This window comes from Homo sapiens, chromosome 3 (genome assembly GCF_000001405.40).
Source record: "Homo sapiens chromosome 3, GRCh38.p14 Primary Assembly".
Lineage (NCBI taxonomy): Eukaryota > Metazoa > Chordata > Mammalia > Primates > Hominidae > Homo > Homo sapiens.
Window position 1 is genome coordinate 164,726,544 of NC_000003.12, and position 22,823 is coordinate 164,749,366.

The window sequence follows — 22,823 nt, forward strand, 5'->3', positions numbered from 1 at the left end:
TCTTATTTTCCACAAAAATTTGTTCAGAATTTACTTGGTACTCTCTGAGATAGAAAATTTCTCTCTAGTTCACCATTTTTCTTTCACAGCCTTCACCAAAATCACCGTTGGCAGTTCATTTACTAGAATGTAGATGCATGCAGAAATGGCATGAGGTGCCAGTGGAGTGAAGGGCACACAGAAATGATATATGTATCTCAAAACTCTTTCAGTGTCTACCCATTATCCAATTCCAAAGCCTTTACACATTAGTCAGCTCAGGGTTCTATAAAACTGTGTGGTTCTGTTTTTTATAACAGAAATTTACCAGGTGTGGTGGCTTGTGCCCATAGTCCCAGCTACTCAGGAAGCTGAGGTACGAAGATTGAGCCTAGGATTTTTGTGACCAGCCTGAGCACCATAGCAAAACCCTCATCTCAATACAAAACCAAAACAACCAGAAATGAATTTTTCACAGTTCTTGAGGCTTAGAAGTTTATAATAAAGGCAACTGTAAGTTTGATGTCTATTGTGACCCAATTCCTGGTTCATAGAGGGCCAACTTCCTGCTGTAACCCCGCGTGGTAGAGGGGGCCAAGATTTGTCTCTATCGTCTATTTTATAATAGCACCAATCCCATTTATGAAGGCTACTGCCTTCATGACCTAATCCCTCCCAAAGACCTCAACTCCTAATACCATAGGATTTGGGGCTAGGATTTCAACACATAAATCTGGGGGAGACACATTCAGTCTGTTGCATACAGTAATAGATTTTTTAGGATTGGACTAGTCTTACATTTCAGAAATAAATCCAATTTAATCATGGTGTACTATTTTTGCTTTATACATTTTTGGATACATTTTGCTAATATTTACCTGATAGGTTTCCCTAACCATAACCCTAATCCTAATCCCTGTAGGTTTCCCTAAATCTGTGAATATGATGAGTTTTGCCTAAAATTCTCTTTTTTCATGATAGTAACTTTCTATTTTTGCTCCACTATTACTCTAATAATGATTATAATTGTATTAAAACAATGTTTCTAAAGTTTCATTGAACAAACCAAGAAACAAAAATCTATCCCTCACAATTTTTTTCAGTTTTGTTTATCTTGAGGAGATGTGTTGGTGGTAGTTCATTTTGAAGTATAGAATTAATATATGCTAAAGAGTTTTTGATGCACTACTGTTTAACTATCTTTTAAGATTTTTTATCTTCTAGTTAATGTAGGTAAGTTCTAATCTATCCAATTCTATTTTCTCTTTGAAATGGAAGATGAGGTTATATGCTGGTAAAGAATGTGAGAGAGGGCTGATGGGATCACAATTTTAAGAAAATTTTAGACCTGGAGAATGTGTTAAGTAGACACTATAAAAAATTGTCAAAATCATTTTTAAAAGTAGGGTATTTCAAACCAGAGTTTAAGGTTCAGTAGAAGATGGAAATCTCAAATTTATTTTTTCACCTCAATGTATGTTTGTGAGAATTTCCCAGAAGTTTTCAGCTGCTCCAAATAGACTGACAAGATAGAACAAGGACTAACATGAAATTGTTTGTATTTCGTGTAGTGCATATGAAGGAATAAGCTGAGATAAAAAATGCATTTAGTAAGGTGCATAAGTGCATGAATCTCAATTATAATATTTAATTTTTAAAATAAATATACACCCAAGCACCACTATCCAGGTCAATATTCAGAACATCTTAATGACCTAGAAATTCCTGCCATGCCCCCTTCCAGTTCACCTCCAATCCAGCAGTAATGACTGTTCTGATTTCTATCATCATTGATTAGGTCTATAATTTCTTGAACTTTATATAATGAAATCATATATTATATATTCTTTAGTGTTTGGCTGATTTTCCTCCACAAAATATCTATCAGATTTTGTACTAGTAGTTTGTTTTCTATGCTGTGGAGTGATCCATTATATGAATATATATATATATTTATCATTTACTAATTGATGAATGGAGTTGTGCTTGTGGAATTCTGTGGAAAGCACGTGCTAAGACAGAATTTGGTGTGCAAAAGCTGAACTAGAGAATAACACCTGTAAGAAATAGGAGGAAAAGTCACTGGATTGCAAGGTAGACTAATTAATATCTTAGCCAGCCTTCTGGGAAGACTCAAAGCAAAAATTGCCCAGTAGAATGGGCTCTTAGTAATTCATTAATTGGGGGTTGCTCCCAAAAGATGGTGACCTCAGCTACTATTCCCTTGCTCATACATTGGCTGAAAGCTGCTCAAAGAAGACCTCAGATACCACCACATTGCTCACTCAATTGCCACAGGCCATCCTGATAAGACCATGAAATAAGCCCAAAATGTAGGATAGATTCTAAAAATTAGGCAGCAAGTTTTTTTGTTGTTGAAGTTGAACCCAAACAGTGCATCTCTATTTCAGCCAAAAGGTTTTTTTCTAGTATTTGACAATTATGAACAAAGCTGAAATGAACCTTCTTGTAAATGGTTTTGACTCTAATAAGTGATTTCTCAGAAAAATATGTGAGTTTTAGGTTAGCTGTATTTCCTCTTTAGGAGATACCATCAATTTGCAAAATGTTAAGACCAATTTACCTAAACACAAGCAAAATAGAAGTACCTGTTGTTTTCTATTCTCATCACCTCTTAGTTTGTTCAGTCTTGTTCCTTTATACCACCACAATGTCTTTATCCATTTACTGATGGCATTTGAGTGAGTTTATTTTTGCATCTTCCATAATTATGCATGCATATATCTGCTGGTTTGCATGGTATGTATAAGTTTAAATTTTTAAGAAACTATAAAACTATTTTTCACTTTGCTTATTTATTTCACATTTTAAGTAGAAAGGTAAAAAAAAATCCAGTTGCTCCACATTTTTGCTAAAACTCTATAGGATCATTATAATTTTACTCAGTCCACTGGGTGAGTTGTAGCATCTCACTGTAATTTACATTTGAATTTTCCTAATGAATAGTGAAGTTGAGCATTTTCTCTTGTATTTATTGGCCATTTATATATATTCTTTGATGAAATATCCATCAAAACCCTTAATCATCTTGTTAATCAGAATGTTAGTTAGATTTCTTATTACTGAGTTGTGAAAGTTTTATACATTCGAAATGAAATCCTTTTGCCAGGTTTTTTTTTTTTTGAAGTATTTACTCCAATCTATAGCTTGCCTTTTTTATTGTCATAGCAATTTTATTTGTTAATGTATGTATAATTTTTTAAGCTTTGATAAAGTTACTGATTCAGTACATAATTCATACTGTCTATTTTATATAGCTTTGTAAAATACAAAGTACTCAGATTTTTTTCAATGCTTCATTTTAAATGGCTTTAGTTGTAGTTCTTACATTTGAATCTATGATTTATTTTCAGTAGATTTTTGTACATTGTATGAGGTTAGAGACAAAGTGGTTTGTTTTATGGCATTACTATATGATTTTTCCACCACTGCTTGTTAAGAAGATTGTTTCTTCTTGATTGAATTGCATTGGCAACTTTGTAAATAATTAATTGACCACATATATGTGGTTAAATTTCAGGGCTCATCTTTCATTGCTCTATCTTTCTTTGCACCAATATTCCAGTGTCTTGATTATTTACAATAAGTCTTAAAATCAGGTAGTATAGTTCCCCAGTATATTTTTTACAAAGTCATTTTGGTTATTCCCAGTCTTTAAATTTCCATATAAATTTTAGAATTCTCTTGTCACTTCCAAGAAAATAAATCCTGCTTGGTTTTCTGCAAATAAAATATATGACAGTAAATAGAACCTCAGAGCAAAAGCCAATTCTGTACTCAGTTCCGTAGGAAACAAATGCACATTCCCCAGCATCCACACTTCATTCTTATGACATGTATAATAAACTTCACATCATCCTATAGTTATATTTGGATGGAAAGTGGTATTTGGTAGCTGGAAACCCTGCTCAAATAATTCATTAATTTATGACCCAAATATTTATATATAGCCCATGTCAAAAAGCCTAATTAAAATAATATAACAGAATGTGAAAAGAAAATAAGGAAATAATAATAAATAAAATATAATTTACTCAAAATGTCTGAGGCAATAAAGTGGAGACTAAAAGACCTAATGATCATCATTTGCATTAAATGATGTAAAGTGAGATTACGAGAAACATTACTGATTTCCAGACTCAATTTCCTTAATAAAAATGGTGCGAGATTTTTGTCTATAGAAGTGTTTTCTTTCTATTTTGCTTCTGTTATCTGCCATCAGTTACATATCTCTAAACACATATTGAATGTCCTGCCTCTAGTCCACCCCCTTTATATTTCTGAGCAGCCAAGCACCTATATTTCGTAAACCTAAACTTTATTCTTACCACTTGATTAGTTTCTCCAGTGAAGCCAACACGCATGCAGGAACCCCGCAGATCCTGTTGTTATTGTTATGTTATCTGTAGACAGCCTCTCCACAGGGGCTGCCGTATCTCTGCCAGTCCCATGCCTCCGCCACTTACTCCTACTGATTTTCCTGCCAAGTTCAGTGCTCTGAAAAAAAGAATAACCAGCTATGAGCAACACGTTCTTTTTCTGCAGACTGACAGGGCTGTGCTTTAATCTCCTCTTGTGTCTCATAACAGAAGCTTTTATAACAGTTTTTGCTAACTGTCAGACTACTGTAAGCCACTGCTTATGATACAGTGAGGGGGAGAAGAATTTAGAATTATATACATTTAGTTGACAAGAAGGATGTTGGAAATGAAACATACATATGGTAAGACAGTAGGTTATGCTTTAGAATTGGTATTCTGAATGGAATGTTTTTCCTTAAAAAATGCACACATATAGAAGTTTTCCCTGTATTTAAAGAACACAAATATGGCTTACTTCATAAAGTGGAAAGATGGGTTCTAAATGAAATTAATCCTGGATATTTTAAAGAAAATCTATATAACATAATTTAAATAAACCATCCTTCTACTCTAGGCCTGACTCCAGCATTTCACTAGCCATCTTACTCTTCTCATTTATTATAATGTGAGCTGAGAAAACGATCTTCTTAAGTAGGTTGAATTTGATTATGGGAAGGTTACTGAAATAGGTTTAGTACGATATAAAATGTAGAATACAATAATTATTTGTTTATGTATTTTTCAACTTCACTAGAGTTTCCTGGAAGGAGAATCTGTGACTGGCCTGTGAATCTATCCAGTCTAAATATAGTATCTAGCATCTGCTAGGCACTCATTAGTTTATAGGTACTAATACAGTAGTCTGGCTCTACACTACACTACACTATACCACACTATACTACACCACGCTACACTAATTTTGAGAACTTACCACTGAACCTCCCAGACATCAATTTCTTCAGTAAAATAGTTGGAGCTAGATTAAATGTTACACATTATATATATCTACACTGCTTAGCCTCTATGAGTTCATAATAATTGTACTTTAAAAAAATTGAGTTCACATAAAATCTGAATTTTAGGAATGTCTCAATTATCTTTTTTTACATAATAAACAACCCTAAAGTTTAGTCATTTTGATAGTGTAGGATATGAGGCCAGGGTAGCTTCTAAAGTCTAGATGTAAGATTGGGAGCCCTGCTGGTGCCATTGACTGGGTGTTTGATTTTCTTCTGTGTAGGCATCTCCGCTTAGCTGTTTTGGCTGTTTCAAATAATTGTGGAGGGGTTCCAAAAGGAAACCCTGTAAGAGAACAGACCCTAAGTGCCAGCACTTATCATTTACTGATGCTTCACTTGCATCACCCTTAAAGATATCCCACTGGCCAAAGCTAGTCACATGGTCAATTCCAGAAATTCTGTGGAAAGAGATTTCACAATGGCATGAATAACAGAAAGTGCGGTTAATTAGAGGGCACCAAAGTCAGTCTGCTGTAAATATTTTTGGGTAATCTGAAATCTCTGCTTAAACCACATAGCAGCTGATTTCCTTATGAGCCATGAATTTTCCCAATTCCATTGTCTTCTCCCAGCCCAGTACAGTTGTCCCTTGAAGTATACAGGTTTGAACTGCATGGGTTCACTGATACATGGATTCTAATCAACCAAAATTAGACAGAAAATACAGTATTTGTGGATGCTAAATGCTATATACGAAGGGCGAACTTTCACATATACATTTTCAATAGGGCCAACTGAAGGACTTGAGCATACTATTTTTGTATACATGGACGTCCTGGAACCAATCCCCCATGTGTGCTAAGGGAGGACTGTAATTAATTGCCTTGTATACATTGAAGTTGCCTGTCCTTATATTAAATGATTGCTATGCCTCTTGTTATTTGTTTCTGGGACTATATTAGAAGACTTTTGATAAGGTCTAAAAAGTATGCTGTGAAAATAACTTTTAAAAAAATTTGACATATAATGTATTCAAATGCTTTAAAATCTCTTAATGCTTATCTTTATCAAAACATTTGTATTAACAGTATTAGGTACTTATAGCTTTAAAAGAGTTCGCTTGATTTAAATCTTTGCTAGAGAATTACTTGTACATGTCCTAAAAACAGTGTAGTAATTTAGGTATGCATAATTTCCTGTGATTTATTTCCTTAAATTCAACATGTCCATCTACATATTCCAATAGGACTAAATCAAAATATAAAGTTCAATTGAAAATTTATTTTTTCAATGTGTATATTTTGCAAGCATTTTTTATATGAATGTACTTACTCAATTTTTGGCATATAGTCAACATGAGTAACCTCACATTGTAAAAAGAGTGTAAATATATATATATAATTAAAATAATTATGTAAGTTTAAGTGATCACTACTTTGCCATTTGTATTGTTTGGCTTTGCCCTTGTGCCTACTCCTCTTTTAACTTGTGGACGATGTATAGTCATCACATATGTCAAAATAATTTTCACGTGAAAAAGGAGCATGAGTTCTGTCTTTTTTGTGTCTCTTCTTTTGGGGCAAAAAATACTTTTTCAGAGGATAATCGGTGCACTTCACCTTAATTTTGATTGCCAATAAATGGTCCGCATTGCTATTCTTAAACTAGGTATTAGCAAAGATAAAGAGAAAAATATTACATTAATAACTTAGATTAATCATTTGAGATGGAATAGGTCTTGAAGAATCAACCACCATGAATATTATAACAGAATAGCTATTTTTTTGCTAGTTACCCATATACAATTTTAATTATATGATCTGATGCATTTTAAGATGGGAGCTAGCTTTGTGTAACAGAAAGAATGGGGAACGAAGAGTCAGAAATACTGAGTTCTAACCACTCCTCTGCTTCATCATGTTCACGCTTTTATTTAAATCCTTTATAAAGAAATATATTTTTAATTCATGAGTGCTTTTAAAATATTAGATAGCAATGTACTATATATTGCTTAATATCCCAAACAGGAATGAAGTAGCTCCCATAATCAGATACATTAGTATTTCAGCAGGAAAAGCTATGAATTGTTATGCTAAGAGGAATTAAAATAAAGACAGTAATTTACATCATGTTAGTTGATGGTAGAAATTATCACCTGATATGTTATTTTAAAATCTCATTTCAGATTATTTTTTGTTTCAGATTTTTGAATTATGGATAATATATTTTGGATCTATAACTAGATATAATGTTTGGTATCACTCAGGTTCCTTCCAGATAAATTTATGTGTATGAATTACATAATTTCTAAGTTTCTTTACAAAACTGATACCCTATGAATCCTTGATCTAATAAAAAGCAAATGCAACTATCTGTTTTATGTCATTTGCTTTATAATAGATATGAAACCCACAAGCAACATTTCCATAGATAGGCTACACAAATATCTCACACAGAAGACAATTCTCAGGGCTTGGCTTACCTCTTCTTCTTAATGTCACCCTTTTGGTCTAGGTATGGCTCAAGATAAGAGTGAGGAGACTTCTGATTTGGATAACAGTTTTACCTTTGATAAAAGATTAAAACAGCATCACTAAAATTAAGAAAAGTTCAAGTAGGTGAAATTTGTATTTTCCTCTACCTTAGTTTCCTTTCTCTCCTGTCCATCTCCAAGTGGCCTACCTTTTGTGTTTCTCAAAACCTTGATACATTATGCCCTCCACCAGAGAGCCCCATATTCCAAAGGCAGCACCTGTGCCTTCCTCTGCTCTCTTTGAAATGCACTCTTTTCAGTAACTATCTGTAATTTCAGATAGGTGAACTTACAGGCATCTGGAGTGAGGTGGTCCTGGGGGAAGTTAACTTAGAAGATCAGGAAATGTATTGAGGCTGTTTTGAAAATTCCTGAGTTTAATATCCATTAGCATGCAAGATGGCACTGGATTGGTAAGAAGAATGGGGGTTGGTAATCCCACCCTTTCTCCTTATGAGCTTTTGATATAATACTCAAAGTCCATGTTTACGCATTGCATTTTTTTTCTCAATGAAAGAGCATGGAGAGAAAGCAAAACAAAACAAACAAACAAACAAAAAACAGAATATGCAAGTGGACATAAGATGATTGTCACCACCAAAGCAAATGTGCTTCTTAATTTCCCAAAGCTTTGAAAACATCAAAGGGTAGACACAGGTCAGAGGAAACTTCCATTTGCATTTCTCTGAGACTTAGGGGGCCAACTGCCCTCAGAAAAAGAAATGCTATGAAATGGAACTTATTTGTGTATTTTTTTGGACTCACTAAATTCCAATGTCTGGTCCTCACTCAGCCCTGCAAGTCCAGAAATCTGATATTTCAGAACAAAGAAAATGTACCTATCTATCATCCTTATCCTAACCATCAAATACTACACACATAGGGATGAGCACTTAAGAACAAGTATGACAATTTGTCAATTTAATTTTATTTCAGCAGAAAGTCAAATTATAACCAGAGTACCAGTTTCATAACTTATAATAGCAAAGCGAAGCAATTATTTGCAGAGAAGCACATGTATCCCCTTGTTCAGAGCATTTTCTTTCCTTAAAGACAAATTGTGTGAGAGGCTAAACTCTCAAAAAAAAATTTTTGTGAGAAGGGAATCAGAATATGTCATAAGATGGCATTCAGCTTTGTGTCCCAGCTGTGGTGGTTTAAAACACATTAAAAACCAAGGAAATCATATATTCAGTCAAGACTTGTATCCTGGTCAGGGCTAAAAGTTACCATCAACACTGACTTCTACAAATCACTTTTTCTATGATTCCAGGACAGAACAATCATCCTTTCATCTTTATATAAGTCCATTGATGAACTTACTTTGAATTATTTTGGTACTGAGAAGCAGTCTGTTTCTTGGGAGACACTGCTTTTCTCTGTTCTAATTCATGTGTTAATTTTAATGTTATGCAATGAGGATAATATTTATTAACTAAGAGTGCCCAGAGTCTCACTCCTCATTACCCATGAGAATATTATACAGAGATACTAATCTTTACTTTTGTTTTCAAGGTTGGATAAGGTGAAATTCTATCAATTTTTATTTTTACACACAATTAAGAACTGTTGATTAACACAGTAACTCAGTTGTCTCCTTATGCCTCTTTGTTCTTTCAAAAAAGACTCAAACTTCTTAAATCCTCTGAGAAGTCAATAACCCTCCCTAAGATCTCTGTGAATTCCCAGGAGTTAAAATAATGAGGTAACTTCAGGCTCATACATACTTATTCCACTTATTTTTTCTTCTTTATTCAATATCTTTCAACAGTCATTTTAACTCTAACGCTAATATTATCCTGAACATGGATCCCAACCTCATATCTGATTGTCTTCTAAAAATAAACAAAATCAAGTCAGACAAAAAAGGAAGGATGGAAGGAAGAAACAAAGGAAAAAAGAAAGGAAGAAAAGCCAACCTTTTTGTGACTATATTAAATATATTGTGGAGAGAATCGTTATTTCAACATTAACCTTTGTAAACGTCTTATCAAACAATCTTGTTCTGTGTGTGTGTGTGTGTGTGTGTGTGTGTGTGTGCCATTGTTATTAAAATAATACATGTTTCTAGTTTTGTAAGATGAATGACATTGGCTTATAAAGAGAAACAGCAGTCCCTTATACAAACTCTCCTTATTCCTGATTGTTGTTCTCCAAATCTATTTTCACCTCCTAGTCATTTTCTCTGGTATTTAGGTCCACATTTTTAAGTAATTTGCATCTCTCCGTTAATTTTTCAGTTTTAAAGCTAACCTTTGTATATGGAAGTTACTATAGAAGATAAGGATTTAATGTCTTTAAACCTACTCCACTCATTCCTGTTTTCATATGAACAGAAAATGCACAGGCCTCCTCCCATCCTCCTAGTCTATTCATATGTTGTTTTTCTTAAATTGATATCTAGTGTTTATTAATTTATGAACATATAGTTCAATATACGTTTATATTATGACCAAATTGTTCACTATACATATTACTATATATAGTAATACTTCTATAATATGTAATATAAATATGTTTATTTACTTTTTATTATTCACACTTGAGCTACCTAGTTTACTAAGATTATGTTACTGTAAAACTTTTAGATTTACATAAAAAATTAATAATGACATCACTTTTCACTTTTGTTAGAAAAGTGGTTCTTAGGAACCACTTCTTTGTTCCTATTGCTAACTCATTCCCAATTTTTCTAACAAAACTGAAAATATATATTATTACTTGATTCTGTATGCACCAGTTGCCTTACAGGACAACTCCACAACTGTTATTATGAAACCTGTTCTATTTTGGATATTTGTCCCCTCCAAATCTCGTGTTTAAATGTGATTCCCAATGTTGGAGCTAGAACCTAGTGGGAGGTGTTTAGGTCATAGGGGTATATCCCTCATGAATGACTTGCTGTTCTCACCAAGGTAATGAGTGAGTTCTGGCTCTCTCAAGCCACAGTAGAGCTGGTTGTTTAAAAGCCTGTGGCACCCCTCCCCCAACTCACTCTTCCTTCTTTCCTTCCTCCCTCTCACTATATAATGCCTACTCCCATTCACTTTCTGCCATGAGTGGAAACCCCCTGAAGCTCTCACCAGAAGCAGAAGCTGGCACCATGCTGCTTGTACAGCCTGCAGAACTGTGAGCAAAATGTTCCACTTTTCTTTCTAAATTACCAAACCTCAGATATTCCTTTATAGCAACAAAAACAGACTAACACAGAATCCTTCTCTTCTTCCTGGGAATTATTTATGTGTTCTTCCTGGGTTGAATTATTCATTCCCTGCATTCCATTTTCTTTCTCTTTTGGTGTATTCCCTGATTTTGATGAAGCATAAATTTCAATGTTTTTCCAAGAAAGAATGAATGGGAAATACACTGAGAAAACATTTTGCATGTCTGAAAATGTCTTTACTTTCACATTTTGATAATAATTTTTCTTCATGTAGATCCTGATCAAAGAACATTTGTCTCAGAATTTAAATATATTTCCATGACATCTTCTACCTTCCAGTTTTGCTACGTAACCGCCTAGTGCCATCTTGATCCTCAATATTCTGTATGAGACTCAATTGTTTCTTTCTGGAGTATTTTGTTTCCTTTTTCTCACCAATGTTCTGAAATTTCAGAATTATACATTTTGTTGTGGGTTTCTTTGAATTCATTGCATTGGGCTCTCAGTTAAATGTCATAATTTAGACACTATATCCTTCAGTTTCGGGACAGTTTTATTATTTCTTTGATAATTTTCTCTCCTCCATTTTCCTTGTTTTCTTTTTTTACCGGACATTTCATTATATGAATGTTTGCTTTCTTAGATTAACCCTATTAAAATATTTTTTCACTGTGTTTTTTCTCTTCTGTCTCATAGATTAGAAGTTTTTTTGTTGGTTATTTTTTGCTTTATTGTCTTGAAGTTTTTTGCTTTATTTTGTTTTTGGTAATTTTTCTTCTGCCCTTTGCATTGACTTCATTTCTTCCTAGATCCTCTTTCTTGCTTGCAAGTTTATCCTGTGATGCCCACTAAAGAACAACACACTAAAATGCTCATTATCAGACCTCTTCATATGTGAGTAGATTTCATCTTAATGTGATTTTGATGCAAACCAATTAATTTTCTGCCACTCTTTGTTTTCCCTGGTTGTATAATCCTGAATGCCAGCATTGTGGGAGACAAGAAGGTGAAGGGTGAAGGAAGTCTCACCATTAACTATTCAGATTTTCACTTAACCTTCCTCTTTCCAGTATAGCATCTCACTCCTTGGTCTCAGCTTGCCTGATATGTCAAGCACAGAAGCAAAGCTCCAGTTTTACACTGAGGAAGGACCAAACTGCCCTGCAAAAGATAGGGTGATTTGTGGTTCAAATCAGGATTGTTTCTTGTTTGTTTTACCGTACAGACTAGCCCTTGTCTTTCTCCAATTTGTCAGTTACCATTTGTCCATCCCATTCTATAGACTCCAAAAATTGTCATCTCAGCTTTATCTTCACTCTCATTCTCTTTGTTGCGCAGTGTACACCCACACACATACATATGTATACACACACACATATACACACACACACATATATATATAATACACACACATACATATTGTGTTAGTTTGTTCTTCCATTGCTATAAATAAATACCTGAGACTGGGTAATCTGTAAAGAAAAGAGGTTTTATTTTGGCTCACATTTCTGCAGGCTATACATGAAGCATAGTGTTGAAATCAGCTTGTAGTGAGGGTCTCAGGAAGCTTACTATCATGGTGGAAGTTGAAGTGGGGACCAGCACATCACATGACAAGTGAGGGAACAAGAAAGAGAAGGGGGAGGTTTCAGACTCCTTTAAACAATCAAATCTCCCATAAATTAATCGAGCAAAAACTCACTCATCACTAAGGGGATGGTGCTAAGCCATTCATGAGGGATCTGACCCAATGATCCAATACCTCCCACTAGGCCCCACCTCCAACACTAGGGATCATGTTTCAACATGAGATTTGGACTGGACATGCATCCAAACCATATTATTGCACCCTTAGTTCTCCAGATGCTTTTCTCACATTGCAAAACACAATTATCTCTCCCAATAGTTCCACACAAAGTCTTAAATGTTTTCAGCATGAAGACAAAAGTATTAAGTCTCATCTGAGACTCATCACCTCCCACCTATGATCCTGTGAAAGCAAAAACAGTTATTTGCTCCCAAGGTTCAATGGTAGTACAAGCATTGGGTAAATATTCTCATTTGAAAAAGGAAAAAATGGCCAAAATAACGGGGCAGTAGGCCCCATGCAAGTGTAAAACCCAGCAGGGTAGACATTAAACCTTAAAGCTACAAAATAATCTCCCTTAACTTTATGTCCTGCATCTAGGGCAGACTGGTGCAAGGAGTGGCTTCCCAAGGGCTTGGGCAGCTCCACTGCTGTGGTTCTGCAGCAGGCAGAACTGGCTGTGGTCACCGGGTGTAGCTGAATGCCTGCAGCTTTTCCAGGCCCAGGATGCAAGCTACCAGTGGCTCTATCATTCTTGGGTCTGAAGTTTAGAGGCCCCTTACCACAGCTCCACTAGACAGTGACCCCCTTAGGGACACTATGTGAAGGCTCCAATCCCACATTTCCCTTTAACATTGTTCTAGAAGGGTTTCTGTGTGAGGGAAGGCTTCTGTCTAGGCACCCAGGCTTTCCAATGCCTCCTCTGACATCTAGGGGGAAGCTGCCAAGCCTCCTTTGCAGTTGCATTCTGTGAGCTTCCAGACTTAACATCCAACGGAAGCCACCAAGGCTTATGGTAGCATGCACTCTCCAGAGCAGCAGCCTGAGCTATACCTGGGACACTTTGAGCCACAAGTGGAGCCATAGCTGGAGTAGCTGGGATGTGGGAGGCAGTGTACCGAGGCTGAACAGGGCAGTGACACCCTGGACTTGACTCTCAAAACCATTCTTTCCTCCTTGGCCTCTTGTCCTGAGACCTCATCAGCCTGGCTTTTATTATTCATATTTCTATTAGCATTTTGGTTGCAACAATTTAATCAGTCTCTAAGAAGCTACAAAAGTTTCCTCATCTTCCTGTCCTCTTCTGAGCCCCCAAAACTCTTCCAACTTCTGCTCATTACCCAGCTCCAAAGTCAATTCCACATTTTCAGGTAACTTTATAGCAATGCCCCATTCTTTAGTACCAATTTTCTGTGTTAATGCTTTTTTGCATTGCTATAAAGAAATACCTCAGACTGGACTGGGTAACTTACAAAGAGAAGGATTTTATTTTGGCTTATGGTTCTGTAGGCTGTACAGAAAGTATGGTGCTGGCAAATGCTTCTGGTGAGGGCTCCAGGAAGCTTACAATAGTGGTAAAAGGTAAAGAGGGAGCCAGTGCATCACATGGTGAGAGAAGGAGCAAGACAAAAGGGAGAAGTTCAAGACTCATTTAAACAATTGGATCTTATGTAAACTAACTGAGTGAAAACGTATGTATAACAAAAGAGATGATACTAAGCCATTCATGAAGAATACACCCCTCTGACCTCCATGATCCAAACACCTCTCACCAGGCCCCACCTCCAACATATTTCAACATGAGAATCACATTTCAACATGAGATCTGAAGGGGACACACATCCAAACTACAACACACACACACACAAACACACACACAGACACACACACACACACACACACATATTTAATTCCTTGACTATCATTTCAATGAAATTGTCAGAAAATAACAAAGATAAGCAACTGTCTACCATGCTATTATTGCCTGTGGTGCACAGCCACACATTAGTAGTCATCCCTGAAGTCACCACTATATATATATGGATTCTTGAAAATATCATTTGTTAAAATGCAGCCAAGTTATTTGCTAAGAAGAAAGGTGACCTTCACTCCAGTTCACAATAACTTTCTCATTTCCATCTGAGACTTCATCATCCTGGCCTACATTTCACAAGGTTTCTTCATTTTTACTTCCATTTCTGTTTTTCTCCATGAACTACTCACAAAGATAAGCATAAGCAGGCACAGAATCTTCCATCGGAGTAACATGGCTTCCCTCACCTCTCTTGTAACCCTAGAACTTGCTTACTCTGGTTCAAATTTTATATAACAAATTTGTGAGTTGCATTTCAGTGCAGCAGACCCCTACATTGCTGGTTACATAATTGGAGCATGCCCAGGTAAGTATGCCAGGTGCGTGGTCTAGGAGCCAGCAAGAGCGGAAGAGTCACCCAGAAGCAGAACCAATCTACTTGGATCAAGGAATGGGGACCAAATGCAGAAACAAGGGATGCCTGCTTTTGTTGTAGTATGGACTTAAGAGCCAAGGACGTCAGCATGACCTAGCAAAGTCACGCCTCATTGCATTTTCTTATCTGTTTCATTGTAACCCTCTACCAACAAAACCTATCCCCATATCCCAGCCTCGGAAAGACAGATTTGAGCATTTCCTCCTGTCTCCTCTCCAGTGACTTTGCCATGAAGCTTTTTCTTTTCTCAAAAACTGGTGTTGTGGTATTGGTTTCTATGTACACTGAGCAGTACGCCTTTGCTTGGTAACACTCTATCATTACACTCAGAAAGCAGAAGCCTGGTGGGCAGCTGTTGGCGGTAGCAACTGTTGCATCCCTGAGCACCACCTCCTGGGAATGGCTGGGATGAAGAGAGGCACAGGGGTGCACTGGTGACTTCAAGGATGAGTACTCACGTGTGGCTGTGCACCACAAGCAAGGATCACCATCAGACCCGGGGCAATCCTGCCACCTGGGTCACACAAGCCTCATTTGCCCAGCCTGCTTCTACCTGGACAAGGTCCTGCTCACCTAGGGGAGCCTCCTGCACTAGAGACGCTGCTCACGCTCTTAATCTTGATCTTAAATGTTTTTTGGCCATGCTGCCATGTTGCTGGAATAGTCTCTTCTGTCTTCTACTGTCTGATGAACTTATCCCCCAAACTGCTGTTTCATTTCATGCAGAGGAGTTTAGCTACATTATGTATTTTTTTTTATTTCTCATTGACTCATACTCATAGACATGCTTTACATAATCTATGTTTAATCTAAATTTTCATTGATTGTATGATGCATCATTATATAATTTGCCACTAAAGAGAAAGGCCGCTAATTATGACTTTAAGACATCTTAAATTGTAAGACAGGTCTTGATTTTAAAATAGAAAAATATTAATTTTGGCATCAATTAAATATCGTACATGGTTTATCCCATAATCTTCCCAAATGAAACATCTCAGAGAATTCTGGTATTAAAACAAGAAAGTTGATCGCAATAGTCTGAATGAGGACTAGCGACTTAAGTGGCTGTAAATCGAATTTTTTTATAGCTAGACTTTACTGAGATCTCTAATCATTAAAGCTTCTACTACACAGATTCAGATAACTTGAAGATATGTTTTTCATGAAGGAAATTTTGCTTTGCTTCCACAGTAATAACAGTGTGGTATTTAATTAGTTCTATTTTAAAATTTTTATATTAAAAATAAACATTAATTTAGCTTTAATATTAGCTATTGAATTTGATGTGGGTTATTAATTAAACTCTAAAATGTGTGAAGAAGCAAATATTTTTCTTCCAAGTATCCATTCAAATTAGATGTATTCATATATATTCCCAAATTTACTTGCAGAGTGAGATTTCATTTTTGACATGATAGTATTTGAATAATATGAGATAGTCTACTAAAATAAGTACATTTATAAATAATGAGTTATTTGAAGAAAATGGAACATGTAACATAATATTAAGTATATAATCTAATATGCATCTTATATAAAATACTAAAGGACTATATATGTGGTTACCAAACTTTTTGCTAAAACTTTTTATTATTTTTCTGTAGAATTATTTTTTGTCATATTTTCCACATAGAAAATGGAAATATATAAAAAGGTAAAATTTGGGGTTTCCTGCCCTGCTTAAATGCCACTGCTGTAGGCAAAACTCATAAATAAGAATGAAATACAATAATAAAATCATCTTGTCTTTTCATTTAGAATTACGTAATTTGAATTTTTTGCTGTTGTTATGTTCTCACCTACTCATAGACATTTCTGTGGTGAATGTATATTCATATGATGCACTAACCAAGAGTAGGTATTTATTTAACAATTACATTTAATATAAAATTAACATAAGATCCTTACTGACTGACTTTTCATAACCATTGTAAATATACAACACATATAACAAATGGAGAATCAGGAGTTTATTTCTACTAGATCAGTTCCAATGGCTTGTGGTATGGAAATACATTCTGTAATGAGCTATTACTTATCAATTATATACTTTGCATTGACCGAAGTTGCAGTTAGGTCACTCATGTTGGATGTCTTTTATATCATTTAGAAAAGTTTTATTAGTTCTAAGAAAATAACTTTCAGTGTCCAGCACAACAGACTCTGAAGATTAAATACTAATAGAATATCTTTTTTTTTTCTAAGACAAACTCTTACTCTGTCACCTAGGCTGAAGTGCAGTATCATGATCACAGCTCACTACAGCCTCCATCTCCCAGGCTCAAGCTATTCTCCCACCTCAGCTCCTCCCCATCCTCAGTAGCTGGAATTACATGTGTGTGCCACTGCACCAGGGATAATTTTATTTATTTATTTTTTTTGTAAGATAAAAAACTACAGGTCTCACTAGGTTGCCCTGGCTGGTCTGGAACTTCAGGCTTAAGTGATCCACTCACTTCAGACTCCCCACATGCTAGGATTACAGGCATGCCTGTCCTAAAACATCTTTTTAATCCTTAAGAAGAGTCACCTGGAGAGGCAATGGCCCTGTTAGCACTGGCCTCTGTTTTGAGTGTTGGAGAAGGATTTCCATTAAGACAGCGTGAAGATGCTGGTAAATCCTTCCCACACGCAAAGTATGAAACTGGGCAAAATTGTCAAAAAAACATCCTTTCAGGTTTGCAAGTTGCCAAAGGCAGAGAACAAATTGAAGAACATATATTCTTGAGAAACTAGGGGAGCTTTGGGAAAGCTCTGCTGCCAACTTGCCTTGGGCAGTTCCCATCAACAACCCCAGTTCGGTTGCCAAGAAAAGTAGCTTTACAAAGGTGAAGATGGCAAGGGAGGAGAATGAAGGGGGAAGGAGATCAGAATCATTGCTTCCAGAGGAGTGGAATTGATTTGAAGTGGGCCAAAAAACTTTGCAGTTTTGTAATTTAAAAGCGACAAACTTGATAGAAAATAATGGGGGAGGGAGAAACACAATTTTGCTAACTTAAGTCCCAGTTGTGGTAAGCAGCAGACCCTTCAGAAAATTAGCAAAAGGATCCTGGAAATAAGAGCCACAGAAGAACTTAATATATTTGAGCACAAACTCTGGCTAAATCATTGGTTGGCTACTAGGCTAGACAATCGCTAGTAAGCTAGGCTAAAAGAAAATACTAAAAAGAAAAAACTAAAAAGAAAAAAAAACTGAGCGGAGATATCAGCAACTATACAACATGGAGGAAAAGTTTCTGCAGTTTGAGTCCAGGTAAGGTAATTAAAAAGTAAAAGTAAGACAGAATCCAAATGGATCAATACATTATATGATCAAAAATTTGTAGTTTTCAATAAAATATTACAAGATACACAAGAAATGGGAAAGTATCACCCACACTCAAGAATAAATGCTGTCAATAGAAACTAATTCTGAGTAGGCATAGATATTGGATTTGCTAGACAAAGGATTCAAAAAGAATATTATAAGTAAGTTTAAAGAACTAAAGCAAAGTATGAAAATAACACATAGTCAATTTCAACAGAGAAAGGTAAACTATAAAAGAAAATCAAGTGGAAATTCTAGAGCTTAAAGGAGTGAAAACAAAAATGAAAAATTTGCTAGATTAGCTCAACAAGAGGTATAAGATGGCAGAAGAAAAATCAGTGTGCTCTCAGAGGAATCAATAGAAATTACTGAGTGCATGAAACAAATAAAAAAAACTGATGCAAGAACTTCAGTGAATGCAATAAAAATCTTAAGCATTAAAACATGTATGTAATGGGATTCCTAGGAGAATGGGAGAGAGAAAGGGTATAAAAAAATTAAATGAATAATGGTTAAAAACTTCCAAATTTGATTTTAAAGCATATTATTCCAAATAATTTATGTAGATTCTCCATCTTGTAAGGAGATGAAATATAATTCCGCATGCCTTAAGTGTATGCTATATTAGAGACTTTCCTTCAAAGAGTACAGTATGGTGAGGATGGGAAAATAAAGGAACTTAACAATGGAGAGACTTTGTGACTATTACCTAAAGCCAGGTGATCGAGTTTAACCTCAACAGTAATAAGACATTGATAATATACACTCTAACATAATATGATAAGAATGATACTTTACTACCGTGATTTTCCTCCCCAAGACAAATTACCCCAGCCTAATAATGAGAAAATCATCGAACAAATCTCAATCGAGGGACATTTTACAAAATATCTAAACTAATTATCAAAACTATCAAAGTCATCAAAAACAGTACAAGTCTAAGAAATTGTCAAAGACAAAAGAAATCAAAGGAGAGTACTAAATGTCATATGTTATCCTAGATGGGCTCTTGGGATAGCAAAAGGACATTAGAGAAAAACTGAGAAAATTTGAATAAAGTATAGACTTTAGTTAATAATAATGTATTACTCTTGCTTATTCATTTCAGATAAATGTACCACATTTATGAAAGACGTTAAGCCATTAAATTTGCTATAATTTGTTACATCACTAAAAGTAAACTAATACACATTTCCATGAACATTATGTAAGAATTTGTTCCTCCACATCCTCACCAACACTTGATATAACCAGTTTTTTCAATATTACCATTCTAACAGCTGTCTAATGTCATCTCATTGTGGCTTTAATTTGCAATTTCTTAAAAAATAATGGTGTCAAACGTCTTTGCATGTACTCTCTGACATTTGTATATCTGCTTTGCTTAATATTTGTTCAAATATTGTCCCCATTTTGATTAGGCTTAATTTTCTTTTACAGTTTGGGAAGTTTTATATATATATATATATATATATATATATATATATATATATATATATATATATATATATATATACTGGATACATGTCCTTTATCAGAGATATATAAATATTTTCATCTATTCTGTGACTTGTCTTTTTATTTTTTAATGATGCCTTTGAGAGATTTAAAAACAATTTGATGAAGTCCAATTTATCAATTTGTTCTTTCGTGGACCATTCTTTTGCTGTCATAGCTAAATAATTTAGCTAAACAAAATGAATGAATGCATAGTTGAAGGAATAATCTAATAATGGCTTCAACTCTGCCAGTGTATTATGTTTGTCTCAGGCATGCACTTTAGATATCCAACCCTTATACCTTAGCCACCCCCAAACTGCATATTTTGTAAGTACTCTTTTTAAATTTAATTTATTATAGAAAGATGGGATAACTAAAAATACTCATATTATTTGTGCCAAGAAGAAAAGGACCATATGTTTCAAATCATGAGACTTAGCTTCAAAGAAAGAACATCAGGAAGTTAAATATTCTTTTAGCAATCCTTCCAAACTATGGGTATACACTACTATTTTTTCTTCATAGATTCTGCCATCTTTACCTTATGCTTTTATCTAGGTTGAGGTGGTGAATATATGTACTTTAGGACAAGTAATAATTCTTTCAAAATATTACTACTCTGTATTTCTCATAGTTCAATGAAATTTTGTAGGTTTTTAACAATTTTTGACAAATGTAGCTAAAGAAAACCAGACACCAATTAACCCGGCATGTATCATGAAGATAATGAAGAATCATTAAATATTTTTTAGAGCAGAGAATAATAGATAAGAGATGTACGTGAATATTAATCTAATAGTTTGTGTGTATTAGATAAGTCAATATTTGTGGGAATAAGAATCAGTTAATAGATGTCAGCTAAGAAGCAATTTTGCAGCAATAGCAGAATGACCTGATATGGAAAGGCACATTAAATTTCAATGAATAAATGCTTGATTGAATATGAAAAATGAGGCAGGGAATTCTAAGAGCAAAGTAAATGAGAGAATGGGCCATAGGCAAAATCAGAAACTGTAAATAGACATCACTATGCAAAATTTTCCGTGATCTCGTCCCAGATTACTTTTGCCTTGTCCTTCTTCTCCACTCAAACCCACAGATTCTACCAAAGAGAATTAAGTCCTAACTATGTTATGAATATTTAATCTCTGAAGACATTTAATTGGGATGCTCCCCACACATTGGAATACACAGAACTTCTAGATTCCACTGGATCATTCATTCTTAGAGTAACATAGATAAGTATTTCTTAAACTACTGCTTGAGGAGATTGTACTAGGTTCTGTGGTTGGCAGCTGGGAAATCAACTAGTAAACAATTCTAGTGGAGTTTAACAAGTGATATGATAAAAGTATATAAAAGCAAAGTGCAACAGCACCTATTGCTATTAAGTGAGGAAGGACCAATGAGGCTGGGCACAAACAAGAACTTGATTCCATAAAAACAAGTTAGATTTTATTTTTCATGCTGCATTTTTCCAAATTTGTCTAATAAAAATCACCAGGAATACTTAAGTTTTGATATTAGGAAATGATTTTGGCATATACACAGAAAAAAAAATTGAGGAATGTTTACCCTATCCACAGATGGAATATTAGCAAGAAATAATTTAGCCATTTAAAGTTGTAGGACAGGAGATAAAAGAGGAAAATTTATAATATACATTTTAGGGGTAGTATAAATTACACCTACTCATTGAGACTTTCATTGATCATTTTTAGGTAAAAAGAATCTCTCTATTGCTTATGTTCTTGAGTGTCTGTGTGTGTGTGTGTGTGTGTATAGGTACATCTGTGAGTGTATATGGGTGAATGTGTATACATGTGCATGTCTGTATTCGTTTGTAAGTTCTTTGTGGATGCAAGATAAGTTAATCCAGAAATTAAGTGCTGTATAGAGTTGTTACTCAACTGGTACTCACTGAATATTTGAATAAACTTGACCTACATGATTTTAAGGCTAACTATTAAAAGAAAACTTTGGTTGAGGATAAAGCTGTGTAGTAGGCTAGAATTCAGCTTCAGGGTTCTGACTGAGTCACTAAGAGTTTTTTTTAAAACCATTTTTACTATTTTTTCCCCAAGTGTAAATGAGAATAATGGTTACCTGCCTCAAAGGGGTGTTGTGCAGAATAGCTGGTTGACAGTTTTAAACTATTTTGAAGATAGAATGTACTATAAATGCTCTAAAGAAAAAAAGCGCAATGGAATAAAACACTTGAACCAAAGCCTTAGGAAAGTTAGTATGTCTTTTAGGCTGGCAATCTTCTACTAATAAAGAATTCTATGGGAAATTAACTCCACAACATTTTTTATTTTCTTGCCTCTTTTCTACTTTCTTCTGTAGCTAATGTCTGCCTAGTGACTCAATTAAACAGGAAAGTTCTAGTAATGCCACATGTTGTAATAGATGTTACTCATAAAGAAAGAAATGCAATGAAGATTATAAAGTGGTCATTAATCACACCACAAGATTTAGTCTGTTCAAAGACATCACTATATTCAGAAATTACCAGAACTATTTTAAAATTAGTTTTATCATTGGAAATTCTGGATATAGTTGTAGAGGGCTAGAAGCAAAAGTTCACTTTTGTGTAGAAATATCTAATAATTTTTCTGAAACACAAATATCAGAGCTAGATATGAAGTTCATTTTTCAAAATAATTGTTATTTTTCCAAATGAAAAATGAGATATTAAAAACTCCGAAAAGGTATTATTTTGTTTAGTCATTCTTATTGAGAATATTTACACAATTATGCATTTACATATCCTATTTTGTAAACCCAAATCAATACACATATAGCTTAAAACAGAACAAAAAACTGCATGCCACAAAATTTTTGTGAGAAAAAAATGTTAAAAAATAAAACAAAGTGACCAATTTTACATGTTCTTCAATAGAGTTGATATACATCTTTACCATTCTATGTTCTATATTTT

At 34.7% G+C, this 22,823-nt stretch overlaps 1 long non-coding RNA gene across 1 annotated transcript in view, besides 1 other annotated feature; it reads right to left on the bottom strand.

The window, feature by feature from the left end:
* Positions 1–22,823, bottom strand: part of LINC01324 (long intergenic non-protein coding RNA 1324) — a 117,386-nt gene that overhangs the window by 12,449 nt on the left and 82,114 nt on the right. Inside the window, exon 2 of the long non-coding RNA NR_126405.1 lies at positions 4,329–4,497. This is a non-coding gene — a long non-coding RNA (long intergenic non-protein coding RNA 1324). The remainder of the gene's footprint in view (positions 1–4,328; positions 4,498–22,823) is intronic.
* Positions 4,150–4,651: an enhancer, noted in NCBI's record as "NANOG hESC enhancer chr3:164448481-164448982 (GRCh37/hg19 assembly coordinates)". NCBI's record gives its function as "activates a minimal SCP1, AML or CMV promoter by ChIP-STARR-seq in primed H9 embryonic stem cells {active_cell/tissue: H9 hESC(primed)}" and the evidence as "EXISTENCE:reporter gene assay evidence [ECO:0000049][PMID:30033119]".